Source organism: Homo sapiens, chromosome 3 (assembly GCF_000001405.40).
Source record: "Homo sapiens chromosome 3, GRCh38.p14 Primary Assembly".
Classification (NCBI taxonomy): Eukaryota; Metazoa; Chordata; class Mammalia; order Primates; family Hominidae; genus Homo; species Homo sapiens.
Genome location: NC_000003.12, coordinates 133,035,655 through 133,052,703, shown reverse-complemented (window position 1 = coordinate 133,052,703; position 17,049 = coordinate 133,035,655). Strand labels below are relative to the sequence as shown.

The 17,049-nt window shown below is 40.8% G+C and overlaps 1 protein-coding gene across 2 annotated transcripts in view, besides 2 other annotated features; it reads right to left on the bottom strand.

Annotated features, from left to right (window-relative positions):
- TMEM108 (transmembrane protein 108) overlaps window positions 1-14,313 on the bottom strand; it is a 359,385-nt gene extending 345,072 nt beyond the window's left edge. For both annotated transcript variants that reach the window (NM_023943.4, NM_001136469.3), the window contains exons 1-2: window positions 14,269-14,313; window positions 6,684-6,802 (exon numbers count right to left, since the gene is read on the bottom strand). The gene's annotated coding sequence lies outside the window, so the exon portion shown is untranslated. The remainder of the gene's footprint in view (window positions 1-6,683; window positions 6,803-14,268) is intronic.
- Window positions 11,145-11,439: an enhancer, noted in NCBI's record as "tiled region #9074; HepG2 Activating non-DNase unmatched - State 12:CtcfO, and K562 Activating non-DNase unmatched - State 12:CtcfO". NCBI's record gives its function as "activates a minimal TATA promoter and a strong SV40 promoter by Sharpr-MPRA in HepG2 and K562 cells {active_cell/tissue: HepG2 | K562}" and the evidence as "EXISTENCE:reporter gene assay evidence [ECO:0000049][PMID:27701403]".
- Window positions 14,325-14,619: an enhancer, noted in NCBI's record as "tiled region #13907; HepG2 Activating non-DNase unmatched - State 22:ReprW, and K562 Activating non-DNase unmatched - State 4:PromP". NCBI's record gives its function as "activates a minimal TATA promoter and a strong SV40 promoter by Sharpr-MPRA in HepG2 and K562 cells {active_cell/tissue: HepG2 | K562}" and the evidence as "EXISTENCE:reporter gene assay evidence [ECO:0000049][PMID:27701403]".

The following is a 17,049-nucleotide window of genomic DNA, read 5'->3' as shown; positions in this document are numbered from 1 at the left end:
GAAAAAAATGGGTAAGAAAGGCAAACCAAAAGGAAAAGAACATTTTAAAAATCTATAGCTAACATCATATTAAATGGTGAGAAACTAGAAACTAGAAGTTTTCCTATTGAGATCAGGAACAAAGCAGGGAAGTGCACTGTCACTACTTTTTTTTTTTTTTTTCAAACATTGTACTAGAAGTCCTGGGTAATGCAATAGAACAATAAAATAAAATTAAATTAAATTAAAATAAAAGGAATACAGATTGGGAAGGAAGAAATAAAAGTATCTTTGTTCAGATGATATAATATGATCACCTGGGTAGAAAATCTGAAGGAATCAACAAAAAACCTCTGGAACTAGTAAAGCAATTATAACAAGGTTGCAGGATACTAGAATAATATACAAAGGTCAACTGTTTTCCTACATATCAGCAATAAACAAATGAAATTTGAAATAAAAAACACAATACCATTTATATTAGTATCTCCAAAAATGAAATACTTAGGTATAAATCTAACAAAATGTGTACAAGATCTATATGAGGAAAACTACAAAACTCTGGTGAAAGAACTCAAAGAAAGACTAAATAGATATTCCATGATCATTATAGACTCAATATTGTCAAGATATCAGTTCTTCTCAATTCGATCTGTAGAATCAACAAAATCCCAATCAAAATCCCAGCAAGTTATTTTGTGGCTACCAACAAATTGGTTCTAATGTGTATATGGAGAGGCAAAACACGCAGAATAGCCAACACAATATTAAAGCAGAACTGAGTTGAAAGACTGACACTACCTGACCTCAAGACCTACTATAAAGTGCCATAATCAAGACAGTATGGTATTGATAAAATAACAGACCTATAGACCAATAGAACAGAATAGAGAGCCTAGAAATATACCTACATCCAGATAGTCAGCTGATCTTTGCCAAAGGAGTAAAGGCAGTACAACAAAGCAACAAATGATGCTGGTAAAATTGGACATCCAATGCAAAATATATTAATCTAGACACAGACCTTACACTCTTTACAAAAATTAACTCAAAATGGATCACAGGCCTAAATGTAAAGGACAAAACTATAAAACTCATAGAAGATAACACAGGAAAAAACCTAAATGATCTTGGGTATGGCAATGACTTTTTAGATACAACACAAAAGGCATGATCCATGAAAGAAAGAACTTATAAGCTGGGCTTCTTTATAATTCAAAATGTCTGTTCTCTGAAACATCAGGTCAAGAGAATAAGAAGACAATCCACAGATTGGGAAAAAATATTTTCAAAAGACATATTTGACAAAGGACCATTATCCAAAATCTATAAAAAACTTAAAAGTCGACAGTAAGAAAACAACCTGAGTAAAAAATAGTCCAAAGACCTTAACAGATATCTCATCAAAGAAGACATACAGATGGCAAGTATGCATATCAAAAGATGTTCTACATCATTTGTTATCAGGGAAATGCAAATTAAAACAACACAACACTGAGCTATCATTACACATTTATTAGAATGGCCAAAATCTGAAACGCTGACAATACCAAATGCTTGCAAGGATGTGGTGCAACAAGAACTCTCATTCATTGCTGGTGAGAATGCAAAATGTTAGTCATTTTGAAAGACAGTTTGGCAGTTTCTTACTAAATAAAACATACTCTCACCATATGAGGCAGCAATCATGGTCCTTGGAATGTTCCCAAAGGAGTTAAAAATTTATGTCCACAAAAAAAAAAAAAACTCGCACACAGATTTTTATATCAGCTTTATTCATGATTGCCAAAACATGGAAGCAACCAAGATGTCCTTCAGTAGGTGAATGGACAAACTGTGGTATACCCAGATAATGGAATATTATTCAGTGCTAAAAGGAAATGAGCTATCAAACCATGAAAGACATAGAGGAAACTTACATGTTGATTATTGAGTAAAATAAGCCAATCTGAAAAGGCTACATATTACATGATATTCTAGAGAAGGCAAAACTATGGAGATAGTAAAAAAAAAAAAATCAGTGGTTTCTGGGGTTTAGTGAAGGGCAAAGGGGTGGGAGATATGAAAAGGCAGAGCATGAAGGATTTTTAGGGCAGTGAAAATACCTATAGACTATAATGATGGATACATGTGATTATACATTGGTCTAAAACCAAAGAATGTACAACACCAAGAATATACCCTAATGTGAACTATAAACTTTGGGTGATTATGATGTGTCAATGTAGGTTCATCAGTTCTAACAAATGTGCCATTCTGGTGGGTGATGCTGACATTGGGGGAGGCCATGCATGTATAGGGAGTAGGAGGAGTAGGAGGTATATGGGAAATCTGTATCTTCCTCTCAATTTTGCTTGAACTTAAAACTGTTCAAATAAACAAATGAGTGAATAAACTATTTTTAAAGAGAGAAAGAAAGAAAGGCAGGAAGAGAACAAGCAATGCATCCATCAAAAGAAAAACAGCAGGGTTAAGACTATTCAGGGATCAAGTCCAGGTTCTATCCACCTCCTTCCCCTCAACTCCAGCAATACTACTAATTGCCACAAACTCCTTATTCCTATTCCCTCTCCTATGCACAAGAATCTTGGGCTCAGGAAACTTTATATCTTTGAAAAATTGTGTGTCTATATTTCCACATCTTTTCATTTGTTCTAATTATAATTTCTGAGCAACTAATATTGGTAATATTAATACATAATATCAACTGAAAATTCTTCCATGTTGCCAAAGGGCTTAATTACTAAATCTGTGCTGTAATATGTCTGTTGGAAAACTTGCTTTAGAGACTAATTCTTCAGGGGATAATTCCTCAGCGGTGAAGTCTGAGTATTAATACCCTCTTATGAAACACTTTTTTTGAGCCAAGCTGGAAATTGGAAGTAGGGGAGGTGAAAATTTTCTTGCCACCTCTTCCAGACTCTTTGTAAAGCTCTAGGCAGTATCAAAAGAGACACCTTGCACAAACAAGCCTCACCACGAAGGGTCAGGGCATAGAGAGACCAAATGGAAAAAGACAGCTCAGCAGCCTTGGATTAAAGGGCAAATGTTTCAGAGGCTGCGGATTTGATTATGTCAGAGATGTACCCATGGCACTTTCTGTAGCAGACAGATACCAGAGCAAGGTAAAAAGTTCAGCAAGATAGAGTCACAGACTGAAAAGTTTCCCCAGGATGGAGAAGCCCAAAACTCAATTCTGTTTTAAATGAGTTGAGGTCTTGTTATAACAAGAGCATACTATCATTCTAAATGTAAGTTTCTGACAAACAGGGGTCTTCACAGGCTAAAACAGTGCTGTCTAACAGATTTCTCTGATGATGGACATACTCCCTATCTGCAATGTCCAATATGGTAGCCACTAACCACAAGTGGGTACAGAGCACTTGAAATGTGGCTAGTGCAATGAAGAACTGAATTTCAATTTAATTTTAATTAATTTAAATAAGAAAAAGCCACATGTGGCTAGTGGCTACTGTATTAGACAATGCAGGAAAAGGCTTAAGGCATCATTTGAGAAAATTATCCAAGAGGTTATCACAAGAAAAGCTTATATATGTTCTGACCACCTGGAAAAATACTTTATCTGCGCCCTCCCCATCATAAACACACACAGACATCATTTGTAAGAAGTAACTACGTCAGAAACCACTAACAAAGCAATGCTTCTCAAATTTTAGCATCCATCAGGATCACTGGGAGTCTTGTTAAAACACAGATTATTACGCCCACTCCCAGAAATTTTGATTTAATAGGTTTGTACATTTCTAACAAGTATAAATGATTCTCATGCTGCTGGTTCAGAGGCCACACTTTGAGTAGTACTAGAACAAAAACTTCAACATTCAAACACCAGCCTACTCCTAACAAAGTGGAGCTTCTTTCACTTTTCACCTCTCTTCCACACCAAAGTGCCTCTTTCTTCAAGGTACATGGAATCCTTCTTAAACATTCTTATAAGTTTTGCTTAACACCTAGGGCTAAAAATGTATGAAGAATGCAAATAAACAAGGCTATACATGATGGCTTCTCTACATAGTAGATCCAAAATACAGTGCATTTGTTGGAAACTTTGTAAGCAAGTCTAATAATCACAGGGACCAGAAACACAGCAAGGGGGAATGCAAACCTGCCAGGACAGTTTACATCTAATCCCTGCACTGGCCTTGTTTTAGAGTTAAACTGAGCCTTTTAATTAAAATAATGCAGGTTACACTTCAGGTCTAGGTCAGAGTTATGGCCTCTTTGACCATTCCAACACATAGTACTAGAAAACTGTCAAAAGAACATGTCATATTAAAACATTTACATTTATAATTCAAAGGGCATATATTAAAGATAATCCCTTTCCATATTCCTAAAGAAGAGAAGAAATAGAAATGTAAAAGTTTCTAGAATAAACACTGATCTCCAAACATTCTCTGGTCTTTACTGTATTGTCTGCAAAAACTGATCTGGACTAGCAGTCATTTGGGACGATAGTTTTCCTTTGGAGGCTATTTCTTTATGTCCTTTGGTCTAATTATACATGAGTCACTTTAACATTAGCAGATCACCTTGTCAAATGCAATTTCCTTGACTGCTCTTTTGAACAGCCTTCTTTCTGCCTCATCCACTCTTCCCTTTTTTTTAACTTTGCAAAGGAAAGTTTTCATCCAGAATATATTATCACAATGAACCAGAACATGAAGCCCTTGAATAAACTCAAGAGTCCAGCATTCTTCATTATTTCCCATACCACAGACCTTCGCCCTTCTTCAAACTCCACTGTTCCTCAGTTAGTGCCATCACAAGAATTAAGAATTACCCTTGGGTCCTAGAAATTTGGGAAGACGAATATCGCTTCTTAGAAATGACAGAGCCCCCAAGGAGTCACACAGTACTATGTACATTACTTCATTAGACTATTTAGCTATTTATGTGTGTATATTTTACAGATAGGGAAAGTGAAACAAAATGAAGTTAAATGATTAAAATACGATACCAGAGAAATTCAGAGCAAGATTGAATCACTATATCCCTTCAGCAGTGTTTCTCAACCAGGGGCAATTCTGCTCTCCAGGGGACATTTGGCAATGTCTGGAGACATTTCTGATTGTCACAAACAGGGAGGGAGATACTGGCATTTCGTGGGTGGAGGTCAAAGACACTGCTGAACATCCTACAATGCACAGGACACTCCACACAAGAATTGCCTGGCTCAAAGTGTCAATAAATAGTGTAAGGTTGAGAAACTAACTCTGGTCCACTGGCATCTCTAGCATTACTTTATTTGACCCCAAATCAATAATTAAAGAATGGCTCCCTCCACAATGTAGTCCTTGTATAGTATTTACACAGCAACATACCAGCCAAGTGCTATTTCTGACATGCTATACTTTTTAGTTACTTTTAAAATAGAGGATATACAGGATATACTTTTAAAATACAGGATATACAGGATATAGAGGAAATTGAGCAAAGTTAGCAAAGACCAGCTCCTTTCTTTTAATGAGAAAATCTAGAAAAGACCAGCTCCTTTTCTTAGCTACCTCCAGGTGCTGAGCTATAGTCTGCATCGGGCTGCTCACCTGGACTCTTCTGCTGACGTACTTTGCAGCTGCCCTTTCTTTGCTTTATCTCCAAGCATGTGCATCACTTTAGAGCAATAATGATGTACATTTATTGGAATCTCCAGAGATCTCCATCCTCTAATTGTCTATTTTGTTCAGTAAATTGTACTCATTACTGAGCCACATGAGGCCCCGAAAGATACCAGCCTTTTCTGGGTGCCCTCTGTCTGAGCCTGGATAATGGGACATTATCTAGCAAAGGTTCAGCAGTATTGAGCCAAGCTGCTTAAAACAACCCTTCAGTTAAGTATGTTTCTTTAACCTCCTATCCCTCATTCTTAACCATCCTCAGCTTTTCTTATATTTATATGAATCATAATTTTCCCTTCAAGGAGGCTGGTTTTAGTTTAAGCTCTAGAAATTGGAGAGCTCAGAAAGGATGTGATGTCCTTTCCACACCAAACAGTTAATTTCTCCTTCTGGTCTCAAAAATCTGCAGCACAAGTGAAAATTCAAAACCAGTTTTGGTTATAACATTGCCAGTGCCCACATGCATTGTACTAGGGGCTGCAAATAGATGAGGCATGAATGGGCATGTGACTTCCAGTGATGCTGGATAAAATAAAATGGAACAGGCAAAACCATGTACTTTGCTAGTGCTATTATACACCAAATCTGGAATTTTCAACACTTTGAGAAGTTATTTCCTTCACTAAAAAAGTGATTAATGAAGCAAAAGTTAAGCAGAGTAATCAAAGAAGAAAGAAGGTGGTAGGTGAGGGAAACAGGAGCTACCAGAGCTAACATATGACATGGCTATAAGGAAATGATAATCAGGCCCTGTTCCCATCTTTACAGTGCACCTCAAGAGGGCTCAACAGCCCCTCCCATATAAATCACACCCTAAACGAACTCACTAAAAACTCCTGTTTTGAAATATTTCCATGCATAGATTCCATCCCATCACCTCGGTCATGGTTTTCTCTTCATAACTGCTGATTTGCATGGTATCTATGAGTTGAATCAATAAAGGCTTTTAGGAGCCTTTCACAGACAGGGCATCATATTGCACTGACTCCAAGAGACAGGTGAGACAATAGCCTCTATGAATTGGAAAAGCAAGAAAAACAATGGCAGAGAATGCCTTTGCCTTACCCTGGAGTAGAGGGTGTGGAAGCCTTCAAACGCACTTACATCCTCATGACCCATCGGCTCTGCTGCTTTTCACTGCTCATTCATTTCTGCATGTTGGATGACCACCAATCTATCACCAACTGGCAAAGATGAAAATGAAAAAATGCATTAGGCCAAAGGAACTTCAAGTCCCAAGTCACTGCTGAAGTGAATATGAGAGTAGACTAAGTGCTTACCCAAACATGTATAATAGCTCAAGTTCAATAAAAATTTATTTCTGATTCATGTATGCATACTGGACAGGTGAATATGTAGGTGGGGTGGACCTAATGCAGTGATCCAGGTACCCACGCTGACAAAAGTCCTGCCATGTTTAAAACATAATTTCCAAGGTTGCCCTATGGGTCCTCTCCATTCCAGTCAGCTAAGAATGGAAAACAGTATGAAGAAGCTTGCATGAGCATTCTCTGTGCTTTTTTTCCTAGAAGTGGATCACAATACTTTTCCACTTCCATCACATTCTGTTGGTTGGCTAAAACTCAATTACACAGTCACACTTAACCTTATGGGCTGCAGGGCAGTGACCAGACTCCATTGTACAAAAGTGACTTCAGCCCAATCATGAAGAAAGACAGCATTAAGTTTAGAGTAGAGGGTTCTGAGTGAGACACTAGCACAGTAACCTTGACTTAGTTACTTAACTACTCTGAGTCTCAGTTTCCTCAACTGTAAAATACTGTTCCTCTCTCATAGGGCCAATGTAAGACTCAAAAGGACCAGGTGCGGTGGCTCACGCCTGTAATCCCAGCACTTTGGGAGGTTGAGGTGGGCGGATCACAAGATCAGGCGATCAAGACCAGCCTGGCTAACATGGTGAAACCCCGTCTCTATTAAAAAATACAAAAAATTAGCCGGGCATGGTGGCGGGTGCCTGTAGTCCCAGCTACTCGGGAGGCTGAGGCAGGAGAATGGCGTGAACCCAGAAGGCGGAGCTTGCAGTGAGCTGAGATCACGCCACTGCACTCCAGCCTGGGCAACAGAATGAGACTCCGTCTCAAAAAAAAAAGAAAAAAAAAAAAAGCAGCACTTCAGAATTTTTTTAAGAGACAGGGTCTCACTATGTACTGTGTGATCACAGCTCACTGCAGCCTAAAACTCCTCAGCTCAAGTGATCCTCGCACCTCAGCCTCCTGGGTAGTTAGGGCTACAGAAATGTGCCACCAGGCCCAGCTAATTTTTTCTTAAATGTATATAGTGATGGAGTCTCACTATGTTATCCAGGGTGGTCTCAGACTCCTGGCCTCAAGCAATTCTCCTGCCTCAGCCTCTCAAAGCACCAGCTTCTTCTCAAAGGCACGAGCCACCAACTTCTTGGACTTTAAGGTGCATGTGCATCCTCAAGGCATCTTGATAAAAATGCAGGTTCGGGTTTGTTAGGTCATGGGTGAAGCCAGAGATTCTGCATTTCTAACCAGCTCCCACATAATACTGATGCTGTTGTCCTTTGGCATTTTGAGTAGAAAATAGATACAGGATTAGAGAACATTTTTGAAAACCATAAAATGATTTGCAGATATAAAGAATTATTATCCTGGCACTAATTGATTATAAATAAATTCCCAATTAGGCAGCATTTTTTAGGATATGTTTAGTCTGGGTACCAGGTACAATTTCTTAGAGTCACAGGATTTTGGAACAGGAAACAAAGTAGTCACGACTCTCCTACTCTCTCCCCTTATTTTCCAAACAAGGAAACAAGCTCAGAGAAATCAATCATGCCCCCAAAATCTCAAAATAACTCAGCAATATACTGAGATTAGAATGCAGAAAATTGACATTACATAACATAATTAGGTTATTACATAAACCCAAATATAACCTTCTAAAGAAGAAAAGGTAATTTCTATTCTTCTACTAAAGCAATAATAAATATTACTTTGGCCAAAAAGATACATAGCCAAAAAGATGCCAGCAGGTGAATTCACCAACATGGGTCACCATGGCACCAAAAGTAGGCAAGGTGTCACAGGACACAAAGCAAGAGATTTTCAAGCAAATGTTCTTCAAAATTCAAAAATTTTGCATGTTTTAAACAAGGATTTTTATTTCCAATACATACAAACTCCCAGTCACTCTTATTTGGAAACAATTAGGAAAAGTGAGAATTTGGGATTACAAATAGAAAAGGAAAATAATTAGCCAAGGAGGAGCAGCAATTTCTGTGGTAAACCCTGGGTACAAATAAAGGAACCTAAGGATTTTTTTTTAATTCCTAGCATGTAAATTATTTTGCCTCTCTGGGATCATGGTGAGTCCTAGGAGCCTAGAGTTGAACATGAGGTGTACTACCTCAGAAGTCAAAAACTCCAAGTCATGAATTAGAAGGGAACTGAACATCTGGAAATCAAGTCAGATTGGGGGAGAAGGGAGCCTCTTAGTATGCATGTCATCGCCAATAAAGCAACATGAATTTGAAAGTGTTTTGGTAAAATTAGGAAAGAGTACTTATTGAGGAAGGAATGATAAATGGAAATCAATACTCGCATATACATTATTAATTTAAGATGGGTAAAATGCTATTAGCATCATTTAGTGAGCAATTTTTTAAAAGGTAAAAATGTTCCTACAAACTTCAATAAGTTTACCCCATATCTTACCCCTAACACTCTTCCACCCTAATGTCTTTTAGCTCCTCAGACAAGAACTCAGAATTCTTACCCTATTTTGTGTGTGTGTGCCACAGACCTCTTTTGTAGTCTCTTGAAGCCTAAGGACCTCCTTCTCAGAATTATGTGTGAAATGTATAAGATCAAATACATAAGATTACAAATGAAGTGAATTATATGAAAGATTCTCCTATCCAGAGAGATGTTGGGGAGTCCATGGACCCAACTTAAGAACATCTGATTGAGGAATGATTCTTCTAGGATGATGAAAGTTTTTTCTTACAGGAAACAGCATATGCAGAAAAGTTTTTAAAGCCTAAAGATGCGCAGTGAAAAATCCTGCTCACAATCAATCAGTGAAGAAAAGAATGAGCTGCAAAGAGAAGCCTGACCTTGAACTTCTGCCAAAACTCAAAGCTATTCATGCTGTTGCTTTAAAGCCCTACATTAAGGAATTACTCAGAAAATTTTCTTGGCCCCAGCCCTGTAGACACAGCATATTCTGTGGCCTGATGGCAGATGAAATAAAGCAGCATTGGAGAAGGGAAAACTATATTGAGTCCTGAGCTTGCATCCTAGTCCTCTAACTAGTTCTCTGCCACTAACTAGCTCTGTTACCTTGGTCAAGAAACTCAACTCTGAACTGAGCTGTCTATAAATTGAGAAGGTTAAGTTAAATCATCTTCAAGAGTTTCTTCCTACTCTGAACTGTTAGGATCCTAAGGTAATGCACAACCACTTTTCTGGGAGGAAACATTAGCAAGACTTCTTTTTGCCCTAAGCTCACAGTATGAAAATATTTTATAAATAATTTTTAGTCTTCAGAAATAACTTATGAGAATCACCTAACCATATAACTTTAGACTTGGAAGAGATTTTAAGAGACATCCACCATCTCATCAATCTCAGGTGATAAAAGTAAGGTTCAGAAAGGTGAATAGATTTATTTTTAGTCACATAATAAGATGGCATTAATGGACTGTTGGCCTACCACTACCTAGCACAAGCAGGATTTTAGTATTTAGCATTGGTAGTAAAGACAAGCTCATCAGTTCACTTGAGAGACAGAAAGAAACCTCAAATAACCTAAGCCATAGGATGGGAACTACACAAAGCAGCAGGTGACTGGGGTAATTGCACCTAGAGGTAGCATCCTATACCTCAGGCAGAGTCAAAGCCGGGGCCCTCATTATACACTATAACCTTCCCATCTCAAAGAACAGTAAATAACAGCTAGAGAACAAAGAATAGTTATTTCAAAATAGGTGGATGGATGAATTAACCCTGACTAATAACATCATTAAAACCAAAGCACAAGTTTGGGGCTGCTAATATAATATTGAAAGGTCCACATTAACTAAGAAGATCTAAAAACACATTAGGAATTTTCAAGTTTTAGAAGAAACGAATTAAGAATTGTTTTGACCTATCTTCTGTGGACAGCCCTGAAATATAGTGACTACTTTATCAGCATTATTTTTACTAATACTCTCACTGCTGTCTTCAGAGCATGTACTTACCAGCTACTGTTCAGGTTTAAAAGTCACATGTATATTTCCATAGTCCCATCCATGTGTGTAGACTAGCTTCACATGCAAATAATTAGAAACGATTAAGTTGTTGGAAAGTTGGATCAAATCATGATTATTATGTTTAATTAACCAATACATATGCCGGGTGCGTTTAAAGCCTATGCTATGATGCTTGTCAGTTTACTCTCTGCCTTCTCCCTTCAGAAACGCACATGTACAGTCAATGTAATCACAGCCATTCCTCAATCCCCATGACACACGTTATTCCTACCTTATGTAAACAGTTATGGCTTTCAGAACTATTTTCTTTGAGATTTCGTTTGAGGGCTGACATAGCCTTTCAAAATCTTCTGACTAGAGGCTACACACTGCTGGTTTGCCAGCTCCATAGTTCAGCTCCTCCAGGAATTCCCAGGGGCAGCAGTGCCATCTACTGGTAAGGAGGGTACAACTTGTTTTCTGGGAGCCCTGGGGGGTGACATGAGCCAAGTGAAGGAACGGCAGCCTAGATTTAGGTCTCTGTGAGCCCTTCTTTTCTCAAGCACATTACAAGCATAACTGATGCTTACAACCTGAGACGTGTAACTACCACAGGAGCTTTCATCTTGTGAATGGCAGGTCCTCTGGAAGCCACATAAAGCCAGCCAGGCTAGCCAATGAGGCAGCTCTGCCTTGAAATGCCTCCTCAAGGATCCAAAAGCAGCCAGCAGAGCCCCACTGAATTAAACATTTCCTGGCTCTCCTCTTTCCCCAATGCTTCCCTATCAGATGATCTCACCCAGTGCCCCCACCTGTGGCTCTGTTATCCAGCTGTATCTTACAGCATGTGTCCTAAGGAAGGTACTCAGATCCCTCTCAATATGAAGGCTCTTATACTTACACAATGTGACACAGATCCTCCTCAGAGGACACTACTGCTTAGGCATGCAGGTCGGACTCTAATCTCTCTCATTCACTCTCTATGTTCCCCGTCCCTGACCCAGGGGACAGAAACGACAGAAAGGAAATGATTTTGTTGCTGCTTTGAAAGCAACACTAGTGGGCTTTTATTGAATCAGAGAATAAAACCTTGTCCTATAGGTCACTGAAGTACGTTGCTAGATGGACTAAGCTTGTTAATCTTTTTGTTGTCCCTTGCATAACCTAATCAGTGTTTCCCAACCTTTTCAAAATCCCTGCCTCCCTTCCGCAGGCCAAACAAACAATGCATACCCTTTGCGGTTTATGGAACAAAGATTAATTTCTCTCCTCTGAAAATAAAAGTGTATACTATGCCACCTACCTCACCCTCAGCATTCTTTTCTCCCCTCTACTCCATGCCACTTAAAAAAAAAAATTTTCTGGCCGGCATGGTGGCTCATGCCTGTAATCCCAGCACTTTGGGAGGCTGAGGCAGGTGGATCACGAGGTCAGGAGTTCAAGACCAGCCTGGCCAATCTGGTGAAACCCCGTCTTTACTAAAAAATACAAAAATTAGCCGGGCATGGTGCCTCACACCTGTAATCCCAGCTACTCGGGAGGCTGAGGCAGGAGAATCGTTTGAATCCAGGAGACGGAGGTTACAGTGAGCCGAGATCGCACCACTGCACTCCAGCCTGGGTGACAGACGGAGACTCCGTCTCAAAAAAAAAAAAAAACAAACAAACAAACAAAAAAAACTGTGATAAAGTTTTTAAATTATTCCCACTAATTTGGTTTGTGTGAAGTCTATCAGGTGACAACCTATATTTCACTTTACTAGGGTCATTTGTGATATTCTAAATGAGCTTTGCAGCAACTTGTTCTTTTACTTTCATTCATCTCAGAAAACCGACAAAATTTGATTTCCGGTGGCTGATAAACCTGAATTTGATACCCCTAACAAATTTAGGTGTTCCCTCTTAAAAAAATATATTTATCTTGCCTAGTAAACTGAATTCTTGGCAAGTGTAGGCATTTCACAGGCATGGGGTGTGTTTTAGAGGTTTGAAATCAGGTCATTTCCTAAAGAAACATGTTGTTGTACAGGGAATGTAAGAGCTATAAAGGGCTTTGAAGGTATCAGGATGTCTCCAAGGGACAAGGTAGAGAGACCCTTATCCATCTCATACCAGAAAGAGTTCTGAATAAATTACGTGGAAAGTCCAGAACACAGTAATATCTTCATAATGAGTTAGTTGAACCATTTCTTACAGAGTAGATTACCAGGTGTATCCAACAAATCAAGAAGTTAACCCGTGGAAAATTGAAGGGACTTTTTATGTTTGCCTATGAGCTGTCTGGGGAAATGGAGGAGAGGCAGGGAATACTTTCCATAGCTTGACCTGCTCTTAAGTTCCTGGACATACCTTCCCCTTTTTAAAGTATGATTTAAAGGCAACAATCCATCTCCCCCGGACTCCCATACAAACCTCTTTTGGCAGCCAAATGGTCTTCATCGAGCACACACTTTTCAAAGAATTAAGGACGTGTGAGTAGGTTTAGTTTAGACCCTGCCTTCCCTCTCCCCACAACCCAGTAACATGCTGAAAATAAGTAATAACCTTCCTGGGTACCCCCAGAAAAACCTGTTTGCAGAAACTACAACCTTTCCTCCGAAAAAAACCCCTATCTTCTTAAGGAAGAATCTCAGTGTGGTGGTCTGCAGTTCACTGCAGGCATTTCCCTCCTCACCATTTACCAGTCATCAGTTACGCTGCATCTGAAATTGGTTTTTGTAGACTTTCATTTAGACCGGCTCCACCGGTGCCCAACTGCTTAAAAAAAAAAATAGCCCCTGAACCAATCTCTGGATTCCTCCAGCAGGCTCAAAGCGTTCAATTTCGCTGCAACTCTGGGGTGAAAACCGCCAGGTCCAGCCGGCAGAGCAACCTCCCGGGCAGCACGGAGGCTCCGTCCCCGGCGAGGCCGCCGGCACCTAGGCAGGAGGGCTCTTCGCACAGCTGCGCTAGGAATTCGGCTCCGCTCGCGGCCGCAGGATTAGTTCGAGTCCCTCGGGCTGGCCAAAGTGACACTACATTTCTTCTTCTTCGTTTCCCCATGTGACAGGTCCCCCTGCATTAAAGCCACCTCCTCCTCGGCCCCAGCCCAGGTCCAGCGCTCCTGACGCCCGCGCCCCATCACCCGCACCCTCCACCTGGGGAGGGGGTTCATGCCAGCAACCCTCCAGGCGGGAAACAAAGGCGGAGGCAGGGCTGCCAGGTGGGCAACTCCCCTCGGGCAGACCCGTCACGCAGTGGGGAGGATGGGAAGGTGCCTGAGAGGATAGGAAAAGGGAAACCAAGGCAACCGGGGCTGCATCCTCCCTGAAGCTGGGCTCCCGGGGCAAGCTGACCCCACACCTCCCCGAGCCCCGCCCAGCCCAGCCTAACCCGCTTGCCGGGACCCAGCATGGGAAGGACTGGGGGGACGCCCCGGAGCGCCGCTTACCTCGGGAGAAGCGCTCCGGCTCCCTCCGACGGCTCAGGAGAAAGCCCCACCGCTCGCGCACGCGCTCTCGCGCACTCGCGCCTTCGCCCCTCGGGCCCCCGCGCGCGCCCCTCCGACCAGGCTCTGGCCCGCCCCGGCCTTGTCCGTCAGCGTCCGCGACAGCCAATCCGGTCGCACGGAAGGCTCAGCGCCGGTCACGTGGTGAGACCAGCCAATCACCAAATTGCCCTCGGCAGCGCCCGCTCCGATGTCTCTGGGGGTTCGGTTGCTACCTAGCAGAGCGGGTGCGAGGCGGGCACAAAGGGTCTCTGTTTTCGGGGGCTAAGTGGCACTCAGTTGATCAATTACCAGATCAATTGACTTCTCAAATTCTAATATAAATAAGAATCACTTGACTCTCTTGTTAAAATGCGGATTCTGATCCAGAAGGTCTGGGGTGGAGACCTGAGATCCTGCATTTCTAATAAGCTCCCAGGTGGCGATGACGAAGCTCTTGGTCGGAGGATCACGCTTTGAATTGCACCTGTCCGAAAGTAATGGCTGTAGCCCCAGCTCCACGTAATTTGAAACTTGCACGACCTTTCTTGTCCTTCTTCCACTGATGAGAAGCGTTCCTGTGGCTACATGGGGTGTCCCGGTGATGCTTACAGTTTGGGCACCAGCTGAGGGAAGGTGTGTTTAATCCCCACATTACCCACCCTTGGTCTATGGAGCAGCAATCATGCCAACTTGGTGACTGGAGTGTGGAACCAGAAGTGGAGACGGAATGGCCATGGAAGAGAACACTGTGTCTACGTTAATCCTAAAGGGTTGGGCGTGTGTGTCTGAGTGGCGCGGTGCCAGACACTTGGCCAGAGAAGTGGTATAAGTGGTCCCTGCTTCTCAAAACGTAACAATTTGTTGTAGAACTATACAGGCTAGTTCAGAAAGAAGCATGTGGAGAAAACATCCGGGAAGCTAACAGTCACAGCACAAATTCAGGCATAAGCTAAAGAGGTTGTAAAATAATATGCCTTGAGGGTCTTAAAAACTGTCCAAATATTCTTCTGTCAGTAATTCCAGAGTCTAGAAGTTAGGACTCCCACTGGCCCTGTCATTTCTCAAATTTGACCTAAGGACTCAGTGTTTTCGGACTGGCCAGCTAGAACCTTTGTCGTTCAGCGTAGCCAAGCTCTTATTACCCAGTAGTGTACCGCCGTGGTTCAAGATTCTTAAGTGCTGAATTCTCCAAAACCTTCATCTCTCATCTCTTGAAACCAGGTGGTATAACCCTGCTTCAGCATTTCTCTCTCACTATCAAGGTGATCAAACTGTCGCTTAGAGAAAACTTCACCTTTGTCAGTGTGTCCTGAACTTCTCTGGCTTCTCATCCCCAGAAGTGAAGCCCACCTAGCAATCTCAGACATTGTTCATCACATTGTCCCTATCAGAGATGGCATCGCACAAAATTCAGAGTTTCTGGGAACATGTTAAACCTGTCACAGCAATGGTTCTGGCTACAGCAGGAGTAAAGAAATGTCTAAGCAAGAAAAATGTTTTGAAAGCCTCAAAAAAAGTTTGTTTGCTGTCATTAAACCAGTGGTTCTCAAGCCTAGCTGGATGGTAAGTATTTATGGAAGTAGGTTGTGGGGCCCTGTGCCTGGAGATTCTGATTGGGATGAGAAGTGGGGCTTGGGCAGCTATAGGTTTAAAAAGTTCTACTGGCAATTTGATATCCATCCATGCTTGAGAACACCTGCATAAGCTGCTAGATCGATAGACGCATTTTTTAACAGGGAAAACTAAACTCTGCAACACAAATCACTAATGACATACACACTCTGAAAACAGAAGAAAGTTTCCACATAATTTTTGAGAACTGATTTTTAAAGGCCAAAAATAATTCATAGGTAATAAATACTCCAAAGACTAGTCAATGGAATAAATTGAAAAGCTAGGTTCACAACTAGGTTTAATTTCAATTGATTAACTAAATATTTCTAAAAGAACGTATTGCCTTTTGTTAACCATGCCAAACTGATAAACTCTCTGGTAATAGCTTTACTTGTTTTATGCCCTTCTTAACTAAAACAGATTTCCATTTGAGCATTTATTTTTTATTTTTTAAGTTCCGGGGTACATGTGCAGGATGTGCAGGTTTGTTACAAAGGTAAACGTGTGCCATAGTGGTTTGCTGCACCTAGCAACCCATCACCTAGGTGAGTCTATTTCAAAGATTCCAAGGGTTCCCAATTCTCTTTACTGGCGTTTTACCAAATTCTGTTACTTTTTAAAAGTGATTAGTGCCTGCACCTTGGAAAACTATTGTACAACTTTTTTATGGTGTGATATTCAATGTAGTGGAATATGACCTACTTAGATTTTAACTAAATTAGTGAGATCCCTCAGAACATTCTACCAACACCAGCCATCCTACTCAAAAGTGACTTTATTTGTGACACCAGAAATATGGAAGCCCAATGTGTGAGCCTGCAAACTAGCTTCCCTCCTTCTGTGACACTTTTAAAAATATATTTCACAGCATTCAAATGGGGGAGAAATTTTTCTCACCTTGTAAACTTGCTTTATCTATTGAGTAAAACAAGGACAGTTTTCACTGCTACTTAACTGAGTAATGTAAATTTTTAACTAGGAAAAAAGCATTTATTTTTCTCTTTGTGGGTGTCATTATTACAGAAAGAAGCAACAAGAAACAAAGACTCTTGCTTGAGGATGTGAATTTGAAAAAAAAAATCCAGGCTGTCGTTCATCCTCTGTTTTTCAGTCTACTTGCCTCATACA